Source organism: Homo sapiens, chromosome 15, assembly GCF_000001405.40.
Source record: "Homo sapiens chromosome 15, GRCh38.p14 Primary Assembly".
NCBI lineage: Eukaryota > Metazoa > Chordata > Mammalia > Primates > Hominidae > Homo > Homo sapiens.
In genome coordinates this window covers 34,988,358-35,010,374 of record NC_000015.10, presented here as the reverse complement: position 1 = coordinate 35,010,374, position 22,017 = coordinate 34,988,358, and the positions used below count along the sequence as shown (strand labels likewise).

Here is a 22,017-nt window from a genome sequence, read left to right as displayed (position 1 = left end):
CCGAGGCGGGTGGATCACAAGGTCAGGAGATCGAGATCATCCTGGCTAACACAGTGAAACCCCATCTCTACTAAAAATACAAAAAATTAGCTGGGCATGGTGGTGGGCGCCTGTAGTCCCAGCTGCTCGGGAGGGTGAGGCAGGAGAATGGCATTAACCCGGGAGGCGGAGGTTGCAGTGAGCCAAGATGGCGCCACTGCACTCCAGCCTGGGTGACAAAGCAAGACTCCGTCTCAAAAAAAAAAAAAAAAAAAAGAAAGTAGCACAAGAATGTTAATTTGAATGATCATTTGCCATTTAAAAAAAAACGTAAAAGGAATCTATTTACCCATCAGTAAAGGAATGGCTAAAATTAAAGAACATCCATGCAATCAATGGAACCCAATCATTAAAACAAATAAGGGCTGAGCACAGCATCTCACATCTGTAATCCTAGTGCTTGGGAGGCCAAGGCGGAAGGACCCAGGAGTTTGAGGTTACAGTGAGCTATGACTGTGTCACCAGACTCTGAGTTGGGTGACAGAGCAAGACCCTGTCTCTAAAAAATAAAAAATAAAAATAAATAAGGTCAATCTATACATACTTCCCTGAAAAATATGTAAAAGTGTGTATGTAACATATTATTATATGTAATACATACATACATATTAAAATTGTATACATACATACATACACATTAAAATATGTATGTAACATACCCGAAAAATATATATGTAACATATTATTAAGTGAAAAAGAACATTCTCCTTAAATTTAGAAAATTAATAACTGATGGCTTAAATTTTTAAAAATTAAAAAATTAAAAAAAAAAACCGGGCTGGGTGCAGTGGCTCACGCCTGTAATCCCAGCACTTTGGGAGGCTGAGGTGGGTGGATCACGAGGTCAGGAGTTCAAGACCAGCTTGGCCAAGATGGTGAAACCCCATCTCTACTAAAAATACAAAAAATTAGCCGGGCACGGTGGCAGGCGCCTGTAGTCCCAGCTACTCAGGAGGCTGAGGAAGGAGAATCATTTGAACCCGGAGGGTGGAGGTTGCAGTGAGCTGAGATGGTGCCACTGCACTCCAGCCTGGGTGACAGAGTGAAACTCCATCGCAAAAAAAAAAAAAAAAAAACAAGGCCAGGTACGGTGGCTCACACCTGTAATCCCAGCACTTTGGGAGGCCAAGGCGGGCATATCATCTGAGGTCGGGAGTTCAAGACCAGCCTGACCAACATGGTGAAACCCCATCTCTACTAAAAATACAAAATTAGCAGGGCATGGTGGTGCACGCCTGTAATCCCAGCTACTTGGGATGCTGAGACAGGAGAATCGCTTGAACCCAGGAGGCAGAGGTTGCAGTGAGCCAAGATCTCACCATTGCACTCCAGCCTGGGCAACAACTCCGTCTCAAAAATAAATAAATAAATAAAAATAAAAAAGAAAGGCCAGGCATGGTGGCTCACGCCTGTAATTTCAGCACTTTGGGAGGCCGAGGTGAGCGGATCACTTGAAGTCAGGAGTTGGAGAACAGCCTGGCCAACATGGTGAAACCCTGTCTCAACTAAAAATACAAAAATTAACCAGGTGTGGTGGTGGGTGCCTGTAATTCCAGCTACTCGGGAGGCTGAGGCAGGAGAATCACTTGAACCTGGGAGGCAGAGGTTGCAGTGAGCCTAGGTTGTGCCACTGCACTCCAGCCTGGGCCACAGAGTGAGACTCTATCTTTAAAAAAAAAAAAAAAAATTATCATAGCATTACACCATTTTTATAGAAAAAGCACGCAATAACATTTGTTTTTGAAGGTCTATAACATACAGGCATGTGGATATAAATAGAAAAAGTCTAAAAGAGTACATACAAACCTCTTAAGAGTAGTTATCTCTGGAGAATTACCTGAACAAGGCTGGTCATGGTGAAAAGGAAATAAATTTTCACTTTCCAGACTTCTGTTTGTGGTAGGTAAGATTCACCAAGTGCATACAAGCTAAAGCACAAGCAAGCATATGGGAACCATTAAACAATTGGAGGGAGATTAAGAAATAATTAATTATAAATAAGCTGTGTATAAAATTTGACCAACTAACTCATGAGACAGATCATATAACCACTTAATGCACCAGTTATTTTATAATTATGCATAAATTATTCTGCTCGCTTTACCAGACTTCTATTCCATGATGCTATGAATTTTAGGGTTTTATTTTTATTAAAACTTGAAGAAGGGAGAAAAATGCCTTCCAAGGACTGTTAAGTCAATACTTACTGCATTGGTCTTTTATTCCTCTATATTCTTTTTAGGAACTGACACAGATATTTATATGAACTATCACCATATTTCACACCATTAAAAAAAACAACAACAACAACTTTAGTCCAGGCATGGTGGTTCACACCTGTAATCCCAGCACTTTGGGAGGCTGAAGCAGGCAGATCACTTGAGGCCAGGAGTTCAAGACCAGCTTGGGCAGCATGGTGAAACCCTATCTCTACTAAAAATACAAACATTAGCCAGGCGTGGTGGTGTAGGCACCTGTAATCCCAGCTACTCGGGAGGCTGAGGAAGGAGAATCACCTGAACCCGGGAGGGAGGCAGAGGTTGCAGTGAGCCAAGATCACACCATTGTACTCCAGCCTGGCAACAGAGTGAGACTCTGTCTCAAACAAAAAAAAAAGGAGACAAATTAAATTTAGCAGAGTTTATTTGAGCAAAGCAGTGTGAGCAACAAGTTTTTATAGGCCAAACATAGAAGCAAAGTAGAAAAATCACCTGATTGGCTACAGTTAAGTGGCTGCCTTATTTGGGGATGGTCTGATCACTTGGCTGCCTGTCATTGGCTGAAGCTTGGCTGTTACAAAATATACTCCTAAGTTAGGCTTTCCATTTGTTTTGCACCAAGTTAGGTTACAGTTTGTTAAGTATATAGGAACTCAAAGTACGGAGACAGCCTCAAGCTAGTGGTTCCTGCTCATTTAATTTAACATCACTGATCGAATGGCAGTGTGGTATGATGAAAACAACATGACATAGAGTTAGGGGACCAATCCAGATTCTTTTGCTGAGTCTCTGGATAACTCCTGCTGCTTAATATCTGCAGGTTAAATAGGATTAAGATTTAATCCTATTTAATCTTAAAAATAAAATCTATGATTCAAGAAGCAAGAGAACGGTATCTCTTGGTGGACATGCATCTCAGATGCTGGCAAAAGCTTTGTTAATCAGCTTACTAAGCAGAGCTGAAGATGACATCTGAAAGAGTGTCCTCTCCCTGCCTTTAGTATGTGTTGCCTCTGCTTCCTCCATGATCCATTCAAGTGTCACATTGTGCAGTCATGGGAATCACTAGGGCCAGTCTCTCATACCTCTCCACCTCCCCTTCTCTTTCTCCACGCTCAGGAATGACAGAAATCCCAAACCCAGGACTTCCTGTGCTCTGTTGCCCAGGAGAGTCCAACCTGCGCATTACAGCCAGCATGGTCTTCCTAAAACATGTGTCTAATCATGTCATCCCAGTTTAAAATCCCTTGTTACAATTCCTCACCATTTACAGCCAAGTCCATCCTCTTTGCTTGGCATAAAAACCTTAATGCTGTGGCTCCAGTGCACCTTTTCACCTCCTTTCTTGCCTTCGATATTGTACTGCTGCCAACTCCCCACCCCATTCCCCACGTGCAAAATCTTTGAGACATATAAAAATGTCTCCAGTTTACTATATGCAGGCCCATATTCTCTTAGCAAAGCTCCCAGAGGCCAGAGGTATTTCCAAATTCATAATTTTTTTCAGGTTTTTGACAAGTAACCCCATGCTTGTATCATATAGTACACAACACCTAGCAGGGTCTAAGACATCAATTCATCATTACAAACATAAACATCTCTGCCAGAAACCTAAATATTCACATTAAGTATGAATACATTTGCAAATGACCTTAGGTCAGTTCAGGTCTGGTTTTCCACTTAGCAAGGGCCACTTCCTTTGGCCCCTCTAGATCTATTTTCTATCCTTTTCCACCTGCTCTGTGCCACGGGAAACTGACCTATCTGGACTTCAGCTTCGCACTCTGTTGCCCTCAGGCTACTGATGGGGTATAACCAACGGGGAGCCCATCAAGCTCCCCAGGAAGGTTGGGGTATTTCCCTTGCCTGAAGAACATTCTGAGACTCACTGTTGCTCTTAGGCAGTCATCTTCCCATGACTCTTTCCTTCTGAGTTCTAAGAAGCACTCCCTCTTCTCATCTCTTTGCATCTAGGAGTCATAACAGTTCTGTTCTTTCTAGTGCTAGGGTACTGTCTCACTTTCACACCACTATCCCTTGTGCCAACACTATCCCCTGTGGTTTTTTGTTTGTTTGTTTTCTTTTTTGAGACAGAGTCTTGCGCTGTCTGTCATCCAAGCTGGAGTACAGTGGCGCAATCTCCGCTCACTGCGACCTCTGCCTCCCTGGTTCAAGCGATTCTCCTGCCTCAGCCTCCCATGTAGCTAAGGCCCCTGTCATCATGCCTGACTAATTTTTGTATTTTTAGTAGGGACGGGGTCTCACCATATTGGCCAGGCTATTCTTGAACTCCTGATCTCGAGTGATCCGCCCACCTCGGCCTCCCAGAGTGCTGGGATTACAGGTGTGAGTGCCCGCCCCGCTTCCCATGGTTTTTCTGCACCTCACCCACACCTGTATACAAAATCTCTTTATTAAATCTTCTTCAAGTGATCCCAATTTGAGAATGCCACTGTGTCCTGATGGGTCCCCGACAAATGCAGCACACCCATGAGTTCAAATTGAGTTGGGTCTGGTTTTCCTGACAAATAGGTTAAGAAAAGCTTTGAGCTTTTTGAACTTTTGGGATTTCAGAATGAAAGATAAGATTTTGTGAATCCATACACTATACTGTCTTTTTCTTCTGTTTACACACACTGTTCTCTCCACTTAGAATGTCCTTCCTTTTCTTGTCCACCTGGCTAACTTTTATTTAGCCTTTAAACATCATCTGTCCAATGAACATCAAGGGTAAATTACCATGGACCAATCCTCTGTAGACAACCCACCATCCAACAGTCCTGGGCATGTGTAAATGCAACAGCCTTGGAGAACTTGTGTGAGAATGGGGCTTGGAGCCTCCACCTCTTCGTTCAAGTGATTCTCCTGCCTCAGCCTCCCAAGTAGCTGGGATTTACAGTCATGCACCACCACACCATGTCCCGCTAATTTTTTTTTTTTTTTTTTTTGAGACAGAGTCTGACTCTGTCACCCAGGCTGGAGTGCAGTGGTGCGATCTCAGCTCATTGCAACCTCTGTCTCCCGGATTCAAGCAATTCTCCTGCCTCAGCCTCCAGAGTAGCTGGGATTACAGGCATGTGCCACTACGACCGGCTAATTTTTTTTTTGCATTTTCTTATTAGTAGAGATGGGGTTTCACCATATTGGCCAGGCTGGTCTCAAACTCCTGACCTTGTGATCCACCTGCCTCGACCTCCCAAAGTGCTGGGATTACAGGCGTGAGCCACCGCACTCGGCTCATTCTTGTATTTTTAGTGGAGACAGGGTTTCACCATGTTGGCCAGGCTGGTCTCAAACTTTTGACCTCAAGAGATCTGCCCACCTCAGCCTCCCAAAGTGCTGGCATTACAGGCATGAGCCACTGCACCAGGCCCACATCACTTTTTAAGAATATTGCCTGGGTGCGGTGGCTCACGCCTGTAATCCCAGCACTTTGGGAGGCCGAGGCGGGTGGATCACGAGGTCAGGAGTTCGAGACCAATCTGGCCAACATGGTGAAATCCCATCTCTACTAAAAGTACAAAAATTAGCTGGGCGTGGTGGCATGCACTTGTAATCCCAGCTACTCGGGGACTGAGACAGGAGAATCACTTAGACCCGGGAGGTGAGGTGGAAGTTGCAGTGAGCCGAGATTGTGCCACTGCAGTCCAGCCTGGGCGACAGACTGAGACTCTGTTTCAAAAAAAAAAAAAAAAAATATTATAATCACACCCCAGAAATGGGTTACCATGCACAGTGCGGAATACATAAAACTAAACAAGATTTATTGACAAACGCTTTCAAACTTTGTTGAACAATGAACCAAATTGTTAACTAAAATTTTAAATGCAGCTTCATTAGTTTTTTGCCATTTCCACTTTTCTTACTGGTTCTTCCCATTTTCAGTGGCTTGCTCTCCTGAGCAGGGACAGGAATTCCTGTCCTAAAGTTGGATGACATCTGGCTGGAACCATAAGATGTGTGCTGTGACAGAAACCAGAGCAGCTGGCAATCTGGGAACTGGAACTGTCTTCGTCGATTTTGAATATTTGGTCACCTTATCTGAGATTACCCATAAACTCACTTTTTTTAAGTCTCTCTGAAGGCAGCTTTTATTGTGTAATTTAAAAAGAATTTTTTTATGTTTTTTAATGATCTGGGTTAATTTTAAACAAGGATTTATGAAATGTGAGCTGGTGCCAGGAAAACGTGGATCAATTGTTGCTTCCCTAGAGGAAATAGTGGTCTTTTAATAATAGATCTTAATAAAGTGTCTATATTTCTTTTAGGACTTAAAAAATAGACAAAGCAAAATATGGGTTAAGTAAGGTTTTGTGGTTTGCTTGAAAACTAAATTGTACATGGCCTGAATAAGAAAAAAAAAAGTTCTAATTAGACTCTTGGTTCTAGCAAGTAGATACTCATTTAGATGTCCTTAAGAAAAGGTGTTAATTATATGAGTATCATATCACTTAGGATTAACATTGGCTATATGTGACAGACATCCAAAACAGTGGTGGCTTAAATTAGATAGTACTTATCTTTCTTGTAAAACTCCAGAGATAGGCAGTCCGGAACTGGCCTGGCTCCACGTCAATGGACCAGCATACTTTTCTGCTGCAGACTACTAGGATTTCGGTCAATACATAGAAAATCTAGCCAACCGAAAGGAAAGGGGAGGATAAATGGAATTTCCCCTTCCTTTAAAGATGTGTCTAGGAAATTGCATACCCCACTTCCTCTGACAGCACATTAAACAGAATATAATCAAATGGCAGAGCTTACCTGATTGGAAGTTTGAGCAGTGTAGTTCTCATACCAGAAAGCTATGTCCCCAGCTAAAAAGTGAAAGGTTCCTTAGATAGGAAGATGGCAAAGACAGATGTTGGGGAAAATGAGTAGTTCTTTTAAACTTAAAGAATTATCCATCCCATCTGATAAGCCGTTAGGCTCAATTTCTGCAGCCTCTGCCTTTCCTTCTTAAATAGCCAGCCATCTCCTTGTTCTTTAATCTAGGGGTAAAGAGAATTACAAAAAGAATTAGTCTTCTATGTTTACTTGACACTTTGCCCCTGTAGGGCAGAGCCTGCCATGTCAGGACAGTTTGTGGGTGGCTGGAGCTGGAACCAATCAAACCCTAACCATGAGCCTGGAAAACAAGGTCTAGTTAGGAATCACGAAGAGAAAAACGAATGCTGCGGAAGCCATCAACAAATACCACAATGTCTAAGAGGCAGCTCTTAGTTAACATGTTCAAATCAGAATTCTTCATTTCTCTTCCAAATTGTACCTCAAAGTGCCCTACCACCCACCCAGTTGTTTAAGCCAAAAATTGAAGTGTAATAACTTTAGCCTCTTTTCCTTCACTCCTTACATCCAGTCTGGACCAGTTACATAATTTGCAGGTCCAGTGAAAAATGAAAACACAGAGCTCCTTGTTAAAAAATTATTAAGAATTTCAAGACAGCAATAGCAGAGCATTAAACCAACTGTGGGGTCCTTCTAAGTGTGAGGCCCAGTGTGACTACATAGGAAGGCAGCCCTGCATCCAATATATATCTATATGTTTTGCAAGTTCTACCTCTGTGATGGTAAATTTTGTGTGTCCACTTGACTGGGCCATGGTGTGCCTAGACTTTTGATCAAATACCATTCTGGATGTGTCTGTGAAGGTGGTTCTGGATGAGATTAACATGGGAATAGGTAGAGACAAAGTAAAGCAAATTGTCTTCCCTAACGTGTGTCAGTCCCATCCGATCATTTGAAGGCCTGAATAGAACAAAAGGCTGACCTTCCTGGGAAATAGAAGGAACTCCTTCTGCCTGACTGAGCTGGGTCATTAGTCTTTTCCTACTTGCAGACTTAAACTGAAATATCAGCTCTTTTTGAGTCTTGAGCCAGGCAGCATTCAGACTGGGACTTTCACCGTCTGTTCTCTTGGTTCTCAGGGCTTCAGACTCAGGCTAGAACTGCACCATCAGCTATCCTGGGTCTTCAGCTTGCCAACTGCAGCTCTTGAGCCTTCTTAGCCTCCATAATTGCATGAACCAATTCCTTATAATACTTTCTCTCTCTCCTTCCTTCCTCCTTCCTTCCTTCCTTCCTTCATGCATTCCTTTTCTTCTTCTTTTTTTTTTGAGACGGAGTTTCAAAGCAAAACTCCAGGCTGGAGTGCAATGTTGCAATCTCGGCTCACCGCAACCTCTGCCTCCCGGGTTCAAGCAATTCTCCTGCCTCAGCCTCCCGAGTAGCTGGGACTACAGGCATCTGCCACCACGCCTGGCTACTTTTGTATTTTTAATAGAGACGGGGTTTCTCCATGTTGGTCAGGTTGGTCTCGAACTCCCGACCTAAGGTGATCCACCCGACTCGGCCTCCCAAAGTGCTGGGATTACAGGCATGAACCACCGCGGCAGGCCCTTCCTTCCTTCCTTTCTTTCTTTGTTTCCTCTTTCTTTCTCTCTCTTTGCATATACCTATATATAGATATAAATATATATAGATAGATCAAATACATCCATTTTATACATATATATATATATAACATCCTATTGGTTTATTTCTCTGGAAAACTCTAATACAACCTCCAAAACATTTCTTAAATCGGTACACTTCTCCCCATCTCCATGACAATGTCTCTGGATCTCTGGGTCTGGACTAAGTTCCCAGTACCTGCTTTCACGTTTGCCTCTTCTTCAATGATGTTCAATGAGAGAAGAAAACCACAGGGATAAGCCAGGCGCAGTGGCTCACACCTGTAATCCCAGCACTTTGGGAGGCCGAGGCGGGTGGATTACCTGAGGTCAGGAGTTCGAGATCAGCCTGGGCAACACAGTGAAACCCCGACTCTACTAAAAATACAAAATTAGCCGGGCATGGTGACACGTGTCTGTAATCCCAGCTACTCTGGAGGCTGAAGCAGGAGAAACATATACATACATATGTAACAAAACAAATATATAAAAATCACATGTTTTATGCATAAAAATGTAAATATATAATATATAACATTTTATAGAAAATCTACGTATATAAATATATTTAAAATATAAATATTGATAAAAATTTTAACTGTAAATTATATATAAATACACTTATATAAAATATAAATAAATTGATATATATATATATATATATATACACTTATTGTAGGACTTTCACCTTAGAAAACTGTGGGAGCTGATTAAACACTATATGTGCCTGGTGCCAGAGGTTGGGGCTGGTACTTAGAAGGGAGGATGAATGCAAACTGAAGACATAAGGATCAACTAGCATCTGGAAAGAGAAACATGAACCTACAAGGACAGACCTCTCAGTAACTCCAAGCTTCCACAGATAGTCTAATGTTCTGCCCTTAGTCATGGAGCTAAACATGTTTCTGGCCCGGGACTTGGAGAAGCTAAAGGAGAACATCTGGCAGGAGTTGAAGGAACTGTGGGCTGGATGTTGCCCAAGGCCAGCAAGGTGAGTCAGCAGATTACAAAAACATGGGTGAGCTGGGATGGGTGCCTGTGCCCTGCACAGACCTTCCAAGTGTAAAAACAAGCTACTGCTTCCTTCTCACCTTTCAAATACCATGCAAAATGCCTCCCATGAGGCTTGCTAATCCTGAGTCAGGTAGCAAAGGAAATTCTTGAAAAAAAATAAAAGGCCGGGCGCCGTGGCTCATGCCTGCAATTCCAGCACTTTGGGAGGCCGAGGCGGGTGGATCGCGAGGTCAAGAGATCGAGACCATCCTGGCCAACATGGTGAAACCCCGTCTCTACTAAAAATACAAAAATTAGCTGGGCATGGTGGTGGGCGCCTGTAGTCCCAGCTACTCAGGAGGCTGAGGCAGGAGAATCGCTTGAACCAGGGAGGCGGAGGTTGCAGTGAGCCGAGATCACACCACTGCATTCCAGCCTGGTGACAGAGCAAGACTCCATCTCAAAAAAAAAAAACACAAAACAAAACAAAACAAAACAAAAAATTTCGGTTTAGCCAAGCTGATACAATACAACCCCACACTCCTTCAACTAACTCCAACATGGCAGCAGTAGGGTTCATTTAAAAATACGAATCAGGCTGGGCACGATGACTCAAGCCTGTAATCCCACAGCTCTGGGAGGCCAAGGAGGCAGGATCACTTGAGGCCAGGAGTTCAAGACCAGCCTGTGCCACATAGCGAAACCCCATCTCTACAAAAAAATTTAAAAACTGGCCATGTGTGGTGGGTGACATGTGCCTATAGTCTTAGAAACTCGGAGGCTGAGGCAGGAGGATCACTCGAGCTCAGAAGTTGGAGGCTGCAGTGAGCTATAATCACACCACTGTACTCCACCCTGAACAACATAGCAAGATCTTGTTTCTAGAAAAAAATATATATATAATATATATAATATATATATTATATTATATATACCCACACACATAAATCAGACCACTTTTCTTTCCTAAAGTCTTCCAAATGTTTCCCATTGCATTTAGAATAAAATCTAAACTCTTTACTGTAGTTTACAACACTGCATAGGATCTGACCCCTACCACTTCTCAGAGCTCCTTGCATTTTGTACCACTTTCTCCTTGCTCACCATTGCTGAGCCACTGGCCTTCTTTTTTTTTTTTTTTTTTTTTTTTTTTTTGGAGACGGAGTCTTACTCTGTTGCTCAGGCTGGAGTGCAATAGCACGATCTTGGCTCACTGCAACCTCTGCCTCCCGGGTTCAAGTGATTCTACTGCCTCAGCCTCCCAAGTAACTGGGATTACAGGCACCTGCCATCATGCCCAGCTAATTTTTTTTTGTTTTGTATTTTTGTAGAGACCAAGCTGGTCTTGAACTCCTGACCTCAGGTGATTGCACGCCTTGGCCTCCCAAAGTGCTGGGATTACAGGCTTGAGCCACCACGCCTGGCCACCATTGGCCTTCTACCTATTCTTCAGTCACTGAGGTGATTCCTGCCTAAGAGCCTTTGCACCAGCTGTAACATCTGCCTGCAACATTCTTCCCATTGATTGATCTTCCGGTCACCAGCTCTTTCTTTTTATTCAGATTTCAGCTTAAACATCATCTCCTCAGAGACCTTCCTCCCTGACCACTTAATCTAAAGAAGCCCACCATACCTCAATATTCTCTGTCACATCACTCTGTCTTAATAGTCGTTTTCACCATTAGAAATTATCTTATTTATTGTTTGCTTGTTTATTTTCTCTTTCCCACCACCATCACTATCAGAATATAGGCTCTGTAAGAACAAGGATTTTCTTGTTTCTCTGCTTGGCACATGATAGTGCTCAATAAATGTTTGTGGAGGCAACTGTAAACCAAAAACAAAATTCTAAGCCCCCCAACCGACTGGATCCTTCATCTTAGCCAAGGGCGTTCCAAAGTTAACCTCCAAACTAGTTAAGGCCACGATAGGAAGGGGGAGTTGGACGTGCCTCATCATACTCTTCTCCCGCTGGAATTCAGGCACAGCTGACCAGCATTGACATTAAAACAGAGACTTTAAGACTGACAAAACAGACTGTAGCAATAAGATACCAACATGACAGATGGTAGGCCCTGAAAAAAATAGAAGTATTTTACCCCCAAATATATTTCTTTGATGTATTTTGAAATGGCCCTACAAAGTTGTCTCTTGTGGGGGAAATCTACATTCTGTAGAGAATCTACTTCCTTTTCTAGGTCTTTTCCCTGATCCAGGAGACAATTAACTAAGAGCGTGACAGCTTTCTAAGTCTGATAAGGAACATCTACAACAAGCTTGTTCAATCCACGCACCAAAACAGCTATGAATGTGGTCCAACACAAATTTGTAAACTTTCTTAAAACATTATGAGATTTCTTTGCAATTTTTATTTTTTTTAGGAAGGAGTCTGGCTCTGTTGCCTAGGCTAGGGTGCAGTGGTGCGATCTCGGCTCACTGCAACCTCCGCCTCCCTGGTTCAAGTGATTCTTCTGCCTCAGCCTCCTGAGTAGCTAGGACTACAGGCATGCACCACCACGCCCGGCTAATTTTGTATTTTTAGTAGAGACGAGGTTTCACTGTGTCAACCAGGCTGGTCTTGAACTCCTGACCTCAAGCAATCCGCCCATCTCGGCCTCCCAAAGTGCTGAGATTACAGGCGTGAGCCACTGTGCTGGGCCTTGCAATTTTTTTTTTAGTATATTCTATGTGTGACCCAAGGCAATTCTTCTTCTTCCAGTGTGGCCTAGGGAACCCAAAAGATTGAACACCCCTGATCTACAATGTATTCTCTCTAAAGCCTGCTACCTGGAGGCTTCATCCACATGGTAAGAACCTTGGTCTCCACAATCCCTAATTCTAACCAAAATACTCCCTTCTATTAATTCCAGGTCTTTAGATAATAGCTTAACTCTTTCAACCAACTGCCAATCAGAAAATATTTGAATTCACCTATAACCTGGAAACCCCCACTCCGAGTTGTCCCACCTTTCCAGACAGAACCAGAACAATGAGCATCTGACATGTATTGCTTGATGTCTTATGTCTCCCTAAAATGTATAAAACATTCTAGGCATGGTGGCTCACACCTGTAATCCCAGCACTTTGGGAGGCCGAGATGGGCGGATCACCTGAGGTCAGGAGTTCAAGACCAGCCTGGCTAACACAGAGAAACCTCTTCTCTACTAAAAATACAAAAAATTAGCCGGGTGTGGTGGCGGGCGCCTGTAGTCCCAGCTACTCGGGAGGCTGAGGCAGGAGAATTGCTTGAACCTGGGAGGCGGAGGTTGCAGTGAGCCGAGATGGTGCCACTGCACTCCAGCCTGGGCGACAGAGCGAGACTCTGTCTCAAAAACAAACAAACAAAAACCAAGCTGTAGCCTGACCATCTTGAGCACATGTTCTTAGGACCTCTTAAGACTGTATCTCGGGTCATTGTCAGTTATATTTGGGCTCAAGATGAATCTCTTCAAATATTTTACAGAGTTTGACTCTTTTCACTGGCAGAATGAAAAAAAAATTGGATTGATATGAGTTTATAGGTCTGCCATAACAAAGTACCATAAAATGGGTGGTTTAAAATAACAGAAATTGGGCCGGGCATGGTGGCTCATGCCTGTAATCTCAGCACTTTGGGAGGCTGAGGTGGGCAGATCACTTGAGGCCAGGAGTTCAAGACCAGCCTGGCCAACGTGGTGAAACCCCATCTCTACTAAAACAAACAAACAAAAAAAATTAGCCAGGTGTGGTGGCTCATGCTAGTAATACCAGCTACTCAGTAGGCTGAGGTAGGAGAACTGCTTGAACCTGGGAGGCAGAGGTTGTAGTGAGCCGAGACTGCACCACTGCACTCCAGCCTGAGGGACAGAGCAAGACTCTGTCTCAAAAAAAAAATAAAATAGGGCCAGGCGCAGTGGCTCACGCCTGTAATCCCAGCACTTTGGGAGGCCGAGTTGGGTGGATCACGAGGTCAGGAGATCGAGACCATTCTGGCTAACATGGAGAAACCTCGTCTCTACTAAAAATACAAAAAATTAGCCGGGCATGGTGGCGGGCACCTGTAGTCCCAGCTACTTGGGAGGCCGAGGCAGGAGAATGGCGTGAACCCGGGAGGCGGAGCTTGCAGTGAGCCGAGATCGCGCCACTGCACTCCAGCCTGGGCAACAGAGCGAGACTCCGTCTCAAAAAAAAAAAAAAATAAATAAATAAATAAAATAAAATAACAGAAATTGGCAAGGTGCAGTGGCTCACACCTGTAATCTTGGTACTTTGGGGGCCGAGGCAGGCGGATCACCTGAGGTCGGGAGTTCGGGACCAGCCTGACCAACATGGAGAAACCCCATCTTTACTAAAACTACAAAATTAGCCAGGCATGGTGGCACATGTCTGTAATCCCAGCTACTCCGGAGGCTGAGGCAAGAGAATCGTTTGAACCGGGGATGCTGAGGTTGCGGTGAGCCGAGATCGCACCATTGCACTCCAGCCTGGACAACAAGAGCAAATCTCGTTAAAAAAAAAAAAAAATCCACATCTACCATCTTCAAGTCATTCATGCGACCTCATTCCTCCTGGATGTCAGACAAGAATTTGGGTGCCATGAGTGCAGGTGCAAAAGGCTGTCACACTGACCCTCCACTGCTGTCCACAGACTGCAAAGCTAAAAGGGCACTGAAACACTCCTTCTGCAGCTTCATAGGTCACAGACAACCCCCCAGCCACTGCAGTGGGGGCTGCATGGAGTTTTGCTCCTGCTGGTGCCCAAAAATGCTCACGCCAGCTCCTGAACCTATTCATCTGTACTTCACCTCCAGCAAGGGGTAGATCCCGGAGGGACCAAGTTAATTGAGTCTGCCCCTGCCGGCACCAAAGTGGCCAGCTAGTTCTAGTCCCTGTGTACTCCAGTTTCTGCCCATGAAGGGGTCAGGGAAATATCCTGCTTTTCATAAGGACACCAGTCATTGGATTTACGGTTCATTCTAAAACCTAGATGATTTCACACTGAAAATCCTTAATTACATCTGCAAAGTCTCTTATCCAAATAAAGCCACATTCAAAGCTACTCAGGGTTAGGACTGGAATATATCTTTTTAAGGGACACAGGACAGATTTCAACTCATTACAGGGCTGATTAAAGGTTTCTATCATGCTTGCTTCTTCAACTGAGACAGAGTCCCTTATACTATCAGGCTTATAGATTAGACTCTAAACTTGAAACTGCCTATTAGGACTACTAGTGAATGCTTTATGCCACAAGAAATACAGACATTTTTAGGTAATGAAGAAAGGAAGATTTTTATGTTCCCCTAAAATATTAATATTACAGGGGTGTCAGTGGGGGTGTGAACAATAATTAATAATTAATTGAATTAATTCCAGAATTAGGAATTTATTTGATTGCAAATCTGTCAATGCACCTCTCAGGGTACGCTGAGTACCTGAATGCTTAACAATACTTGGCAATGTGATAAATTGCCTGGATTTGTAAGTAGAGTTTCTGACAATGTAACAGCTGGAAGGAGAAATGACCTTTGTTTTGCAATTGTGTTAACACTTAAGAGGCTTTAGAAACAAACCATTCTACTTTGCTGTTGGGAAGCCATTTGGAAAAATCAGGCTTGTTGGAACAAGTTGCTATGGGAGGAACTTAAAGCAAAGCATTGCTGGATAAGCTCAAAACTTCCTGTGAAAACTTGAGATATCCTCCCCACCTCTTGTTCTTCAAGAAGTCATTAAAGGGGAGGGAGAGAGAAGACTGAGTATTAAGAGAACTGTTCAGGCTGGGCGCAGTGGCTCACGCCTGTAATCCCAGCACTTTGGGAGGCCGAGGCAGGTGGATCACGAGGTCAAGAGTTGGAGACCAGCCTGGCCAACATGATGAAACCCCGTTTCTACTGAAAACACAAAAATTAGCCAGGCATGGTGGCGTGTGCCTGTAATCCCAGCTACTCGGGAGGCTGAGGCAGGAGAATTGGTGGAACCCGGGAGGCAGAGGTTGCAGTGAGCTGAGATTGCACCATTGCACTCCAGCCTGGGGGACAGAGCGAGACTGTCTCAAAACAAAACAAAACAAAAAAAAACTGTTTAGTGTTAGAAACAGAGGCACCATTCCAGCCATACAGAGCTGTCAATGAGGAAGATTACCTTTAGCCACCTGAGTTCAGATTTCTAACTACTAAAACCGTTGATCATAAGGTAAGTAAGTTCTTACTTTGGGTCAGAGAACACAACAAAAAAGCCCGGGACCTTAAATAAAAATCATGCTTACTAAGTATTTACCTAATTGGGAAGCCAGAAGAGATCAGTAACATCTCATATATTTACCCCTAGAATCTGGCAGACACCGGAGACAGACTTAAAGCCCACAACACTACTTGCAGATGGGGACTGAGAAAGGAAATGCTTAGTCTGTTCTGGCTTTTGTGAAGAAGGGCATTTTTTTTTTTTGGTAGACTCTACCTGTGAGAACTCTTATCACCGGCCTCCAGAAAGTAAGATCCAGAAACAGGAGAAAGTCACAATGTCAAGCTCACTTGACTCCATAAGCAAAAACTATCGTTCCTCCCACCCTCCTTGGTTGGCTCAGACCCTTGTCCTAAGAGTCAGAGTGAAACCGCCTTTGCAAAAATTACAACTGAGAAAATTGTGGTTGACCTAATCGACTCCATCTTACTTTCAAACCTTCAAGTTGTGCTTGTTCATTCTTGGGTGTGGGCCCAATGAACTTTGGGAGGAACTTAGTTTATAGTTTAGCTTTGAAACAAAGACAATAACAGCTCTTTCCCAAAATAAACACCCTTCCTGCCTGGGGGGCTAGACTGCTTTTTTTTTAAAGGACTAACAAATTAGCTACAGGATTAGAAATTATGGTTTAGGAGTCATGCAGCTGGAAGTGGCAAGATTCTGAACCTCCTCAAATTGTTCCTGGGAATAACATAACTATTGTAGAACCTAAGATCAGTGCTTGACGTATTTTGTAGACCCTACACTTCATGGATCGGCTAGCACCACCCAGATCAATAAACTGGCTCATCTGGTCTTGTGGCCTCCACCAAGGAAATGACTCAGTATAAGAGGACAGTTTCAACTCTCTATGATTTCATCTGTGAGTCAACCAATCAGCACTCCCGATTCACTGCCCCTGCCCCAACCAAATTATCCTTAAAAACTCTGATTCCCGAATTCTCGAGGAGGCTGATTTGAGTAATAATAAAACTCCAGTCTCCTGTACAACCAGTTCTGTGTGAATTAAACTCTTCGCTACTGCAATTCCCCTGTCTTGATAAATTAGCTCTGTCTAGGCAGTGGGCAAGGTGGACCCTTTGAGTGGTTACAAGGGGTGCATTCAGTGGTGTCGAGAGGTTGGTCTTGACTCTAAGGATGAACAAGTACGGTCAAAACCCTATGGGGGATTTCTGCCTGCTTCCAGGTAACTCTGGAACCTCAATACTACCGAATTTGAACCAACACATGGGAAGTGAGGAAGTGGGGCAGGAGTCGGGGTGTGGAACAGTGCAATACCTAACCAGACCCAGAAATCCAATAGGTATTATCACTAATGGAGCTTTAGAGATTTCCAGCAATCCTTTAGGAGACTGGGGCTAGCCTGTGAGCTGTAGACAGTCCAACTGTCCTAAGTAAAATACAGTACAGCCGTATTGTGCTTCATCTTCTGATCTCAACTTATCCTCCACCCTCTCCCTGCTCCCAGCTGCCCCACTCCTACACCACAATGCTCTCAGAAGTTGTGTAGCACAATGTACAAGAAGTTGCAAGTATTATTCTCAAGGAAGTACAGTATATGATGGGAAGGAGAGGGTTCTATTCACCAAAAATCATCTTAAGAAATAAGGATTTCTACTTTGGGAGGCCAAGGTGGGCAGATAACCTCAGGTCCGGAATTCGAGACCAGCCTGACCAACATGGTGAAACCCCGTCTCTATTAAAAATACAAAATTAGCTGGGCACGGTGGCGCATGCCTGTAATCCCAGCTAATCGGGAGGCTGAGGGAGGAGAATCACTTGAACCCGGGAGGCGGAGGTTGCGGTGAGTCAAGATCACGCCATTGCATTCCAGCCTGGGCAACAAGAGCAAAACTCCATCTCCCCTCCCCCCAAAAAAAAAAAGAAAGAAAGAAGGATTTCTTTGTTGAAAAAATTCTTTGACAGTTGCTTGGGGGTAGAAACTAACACCTGAGGGGTACAGATTTGGGTGGACTATCTGCAGAAGGCAAGCAGATGACTTTGTATGTTGTTCCACAGAGGGAATGGGAAGAGGAGAAAGGAAAGATAAGAGAGACGGGATGGAACCAGGAGATGTGAGCTCCTTGCCAGCCTGTCACTTAGGGCAGAAGGCAGCTTTAACACCATTAAAAGTCAATTTCAAAAAGTGTCTGTTTTTTAGCCGGGTATGGTGGCTCATGCCTGTAATCCCAGCACTTTGGGAGGCCAAGGTGGGCGGATCACCTGAGGTCAGGAGTTTGAGACCAGCCTGGCTAACATGGTGAAACTCCGTTTCTACAAAAAAAAAAAAAAAAAAAAAAAAAAAAAAAAAAAAAAATTAGCCAGGCGTGGAGGCGCGTGCCTATAATCCCAGTTACTCGGGAGGCTGAGGCAGGAGAATCGCTTGAACCTAGGAGCCGGAGGGTGTAGTAAGCCGAGATCGTGCCATTGCACTCCAGGTTGGGCAACAAGAGCAGAACTCCATCTCAAAAAAAAGTTAAAAAAAAACTCTGTTTTTAAAATATTCCAAAAAACATACAAAATATCCTAAAATTATGGACTCCTTTGAAGTACAATTATTTTGGTAAAAGATGAAAGATTTATAGGATCTGAAGAGAAACTAGAGAATCAAGTACAATTATTTGGATAAAAGATAGAAAAAGAAGAAGAAAATTTTTAAAAAGAAAACATTTGCATATAACAACTTTCTGAGCTTCTTGTTAAGAACCTGGTGAGCAGTAGGTGCTCCAAATTATTTCCTGCGTGAGTGACTCTCCTGCCACTCCCCACTTTCCCAACCTGTACTTCACACTCCAGCAACTACTTGTATTTCCTGTTTGCCATGCCTTTTCTCACTGTGTGTCTGTTGTGGTTGGAATATTCTCTGCCTATCTTTCCTTTCCCCACCCTCCTCCAAAAACACACTCTCTTGCCCACTAAGCAAGTTACTACTCATTTTTATCCCTGCCTCCTACTGTCTCCCATGGGAAAGGCAGTCTCTCATTTCCACCAGGTTTCAACTCAACAATCACAGAACTAGGCTGAGTGCAGTGGCTCATGCCTGTAATCCCAGCACTTTGGGAGGCCGAGGCAGATGAATCACCTGAGATCAGGAGTTCAAGACCAGCCTGGCCAACATGGTGCTAAAAATGCGAAATACTAAAAATGCGAAAATTAGCCGGGCATGGTGGCAGGCACCTACAGTCCCAGCTACTTGGGAGGCTGAGGCAGGAGCATCACTTGAACCTGGGAGGCAGAGGTTGCAGTGAGCTGAGATCGTGCCAATGCACTGCAGCCTGAGTGACAGAGCAAGACTCTGTATTAAAAAAAAAAAAAATCACAGAACTTCTCATTAAGGCCATCTCTGGCCATCTACTAAAATGCCAGCATCCCCACCCACACCCTCAAATCTTCACAGCCCTCTTCTGTGCTTTTCTCCTCAGTTCTTACTAATATTTAACATATTATATATTTTAACTTATTTGATCTGTTGTCTGTCTCCTTCAGTAGAATATAAAATCTATGAAGACATGGATTTTTGACTTTTTGTCTGCTACTCTGTCCCCCTTGCCTAGAACAGGACTTGATACACAGCGAGTGCTTAATATATGCAGAACGGATGGATGGATAGATGGCTGATTGAAGCTGCAGCTCAGGGACCATCTGTACCTGGAACCTCCAAGCAGATTTAGATGTTCTTTCCTCCTATATATATCTGCTCTTATCATATTGTATTAATACTTGTTTGTATGTTATTTTCCCCTCTGGGCTAGAAACTAATTTAAGGTTCAGGGCCTAACTGCTTCATCTTTATATAATTGGAAGTGAATATTTAGAGCTTGGTACCTGATATGTCTTTTCTTCTTTTTCTTTTTTTGAAACAGAGTCTCGCTCTGTCGCCCAGGCTAGAGTGCAGTGGCACATCTTTTCTATTTTTATTATTATTTATTTAAGACAGAGTCTTGCTCTGTCATCCAGGCTGGAGTGCAGTGGCATGAACACGGCTCACTACAGCCTTTAACTCCTGGGCTAGAGCAATCCTCCCACCTCAGCCTCCTGAGTAGCTGGGACTACAGGCACGTGCCACCACGCCCGGCTAATTTTTGTATTTTTAGTAGAGACAGGGTTTCACAATGTTGGCCAGGCTGGTCTCGAACTCCTGACCCATGATCTACCCGCCTCGGCCTCCCTAAGTGCTGGGATTACAGGTGTGAGCCACCGCGCCCAGCCTAGGTTAAATAACTTCTAAGGACACAACTAGTAAGCTGCAGCATTAAGATACTAATTCAAACGTATGTCATGCACCCCCTTTATTTTTCATTCTCATACTATCTTTTCTTCACCCTGCCACCTCTGCCCTACCATGTTCTGTCCTGCCCCCACATTTTTTATTTATTCATAGTCTACCCACTACTGCTAGTTCAAATTTCACATATTCAATGAAATCTTCCTTGATTACTCTTATTCATGTTAATTTCTCTTTTTTTTCCAGAAGGCTCCTGAGATAGCTCTCACGGTAAATGGGGGAGGTTATGACATGGGGCATGTGGCCTTGGAGAATAGCCTATTCAAGTCCTAACTGCTTTCACACTCAATATATATTCAGACTCTCCATGCAAAGGCCAATTTGTTTTGCAGGTAATGGATAAAGAACGAATCTCACCCTCCAGTGGTCCCCAATTTCAGGTAGTGTTTTCTCATGATATGGATGTATCTCCTAAGGCTGATGTGGCTGATGATGGATGCAATTGTTTGCATTATTTGGCTGAGTTAAGTTTCCCAGGAGTAGCTGCAGAATGGAGCAGATTTACAAGGGTTATCCGGACAAACAGCATCCCCACTTTGGGACTAGCATTTAGGACACCAGAAGTCTTTCCTTTCCCTTCTCCACCCCTGCTTCTGTTGGAAGCAGACTTCAACCCCTCCCAAATCTGACTCCTTCAGGGTTCCTACATGAGAAGCAAAAGCTCATTTCCTATTCGCCATTTCCTCATGCTAACACATCCAAAACAGAGAATTTTTGTTGGCTCAGCTGCTTTAATTTTTTTGGTAGAGGAAAATATATCAACATTAGAAACCATTGATTTTTGTTGCTGATGGTCCTTAGAAAGTAATGCAAAAAGTTGCTTAGAGTTAAAAAAGTATGCCTGATAATCTGCTTTCATTTCCTCCTTTCTCAAGGTGATACAATTACAATCAGAACCTGCAAAAAATCCACAGTAAATTCTTCTCTAATGCCTTTTGCACTTAAAATCTTTAGTAGATACCTTAGCATCTTATTCAGTAATAACATGCCAACTTAGTCTGTAACTAAATATTTGGTCTTCAATTGTGACTACATAAAATGCTGAAATATCTATAACTTGGGAAGCAGCAGTTATAAATGCAGGTCTGGTATTAGACAACCTGTGTTCAAATCGCACCTCTATCGTTTATTAACTGTGTGACATTAAGTTCCTTAACGTCTCTGATAGCCTCATTTTCCTCATCTTAAAATGGGATCCTATCATTTCATAAAGTTGTATTCTATATGAGTAATTAATAATGATAATAGTTCTTTGAAGGCCTACTACACTAGGAATTATGTTGAGCACTTCACACTCATTTTATCTAATTGTGAGAACAGGGCTTCGTACACTGTAGACAACCAAAACATACTGAATGATTGAGGCGGGGCTAATGAGGTCCGCAGCTGGCACGCCATTAGAGGAGTCGCGAGTGGAGCTCAGTCATGTCTGCCCACAAAGCGCCTGCGCTTGACCTCTACGTTATATTTACTTTGGCAATGTACAAAGTGGTGAGGACAGTCCTAGCCCGGAGGGCCCCTAACACATTGTCGTCTTCTTATCCTCGGCCCTCTGCGTTAGAGAGGGCTGCCCCGAATCGGCTTTGAACGCTGACTCGCCCTTTTCCAGTCGGCCCTTGAGCCCACTAGTCAGGGCTACAGCGTTTTCCTAACCGAGGTTCAGAGGTGAGATGGAAAATGTACCCGTCTTTATTCTGTTCTCTCCCCTGCAATGACAGGGTGAATGGCGGTGGGGTTGGGGGCACGTCTCCAGAGTCCCAGTCCGCTCGGGACCCGCGGACCGCCCGGAGGCGACAACGGCCCTGAAATT

The 22,017-nt window shown here is 43.7% G+C and overlaps 2 long non-coding RNA genes across 4 annotated transcripts in view, besides 5 other annotated features; one reads left to right on the top strand and one right to left on the bottom strand.

Annotated features, from left to right (window-relative positions):
- The window catches only part of LOC105370763 (uncharacterized), a 13,440-nt gene extending 6,416 nt beyond the window's left edge, over nucleotides 1-7,024 (top strand). Inside the window, exon 3 of the long non-coding RNA XR_932098.3 lies at nucleotides 6,144-7,024. This is a non-coding gene — a long non-coding RNA (uncharacterized LOC105370763). The remainder of the gene's footprint in view (nucleotides 1-6,143) is intronic.
- Nucleotides 1-22,017, bottom strand: part of LOC105370764 (uncharacterized) — a 22,830-nt gene extending 813 nt beyond the window's left edge. Inside the window, exons 1-4 of one of the 3 annotated variants that reach the window (NR_188212.1) lie at nucleotides 21,891-22,017; nucleotides 20,565-20,690; nucleotides 7,023-7,249; nucleotides 1,877-1,967 (exon numbers count right to left, since the gene is read on the bottom strand). This is a non-coding gene — a long non-coding RNA (uncharacterized LOC105370764). Of the gene's footprint in view, nucleotides 1-1,876; nucleotides 1,968-7,022; nucleotides 7,250-8,028; nucleotides 8,261-16,138; nucleotides 16,730-20,564; nucleotides 20,691-21,890 lie in introns of those variants that run through there. The other 2 variants (NR_188213.1, NR_188214.1) reach the window with 2 other exon arrangements.
- Nucleotides 14,855-15,526: an enhancer, noted in NCBI's record as "OCT4-NANOG-H3K27ac-H3K4me1 hESC enhancer chr15:35287050-35287721 (GRCh37/hg19 assembly coordinates)". NCBI's record gives its function as "activates a minimal SCP1, AML or CMV promoter by ChIP-STARR-seq in naive H9 embryonic stem cells {active_cell/tissue: H9 hESC(naive)}" and the evidence as "EXISTENCE:reporter gene assay evidence [ECO:0000049][PMID:30033119]".
- Nucleotides 15,958-17,157: an enhancer, noted in NCBI's record as "P300/CBP strongly-dependent group 1 enhancer chr15:35285419-35286618 (GRCh37/hg19 assembly coordinates)". NCBI's record gives its function as "activates an origin of replication core promoter dependent on BRD2, BRD4, P300/CBP, MED14 and CDK7 cofactors, with strong dependence on P300/CBP, by STARR-seq in HCT116 cells {active_cell/tissue: HCT116}" and the evidence as "EXISTENCE:reporter gene assay evidence [ECO:0000049][PMID:35650434]".
- Nucleotides 15,980-16,029: an enhancer, noted in NCBI's record as "active region_9189". NCBI's record gives its function as "activates an Ori minimal core promoter by ATAC-STARR-seq in GM12878 lymphoblastoid cells {active_cell/tissue: GM12878}" and the evidence as "EXISTENCE:reporter gene assay evidence [ECO:0000049][PMID:35858748]".
- Nucleotides 16,634-16,683: an enhancer, noted in NCBI's record as "active region_9188". NCBI's record gives its function as "activates an Ori minimal core promoter by ATAC-STARR-seq in GM12878 lymphoblastoid cells {active_cell/tissue: GM12878}" and the evidence as "EXISTENCE:reporter gene assay evidence [ECO:0000049][PMID:35858748]".
- Nucleotides 21,904-21,993: an enhancer, noted in NCBI's record as "active region_9187". NCBI's record gives its function as "activates an Ori minimal core promoter by ATAC-STARR-seq in GM12878 lymphoblastoid cells {active_cell/tissue: GM12878}" and the evidence as "EXISTENCE:reporter gene assay evidence [ECO:0000049][PMID:35858748]".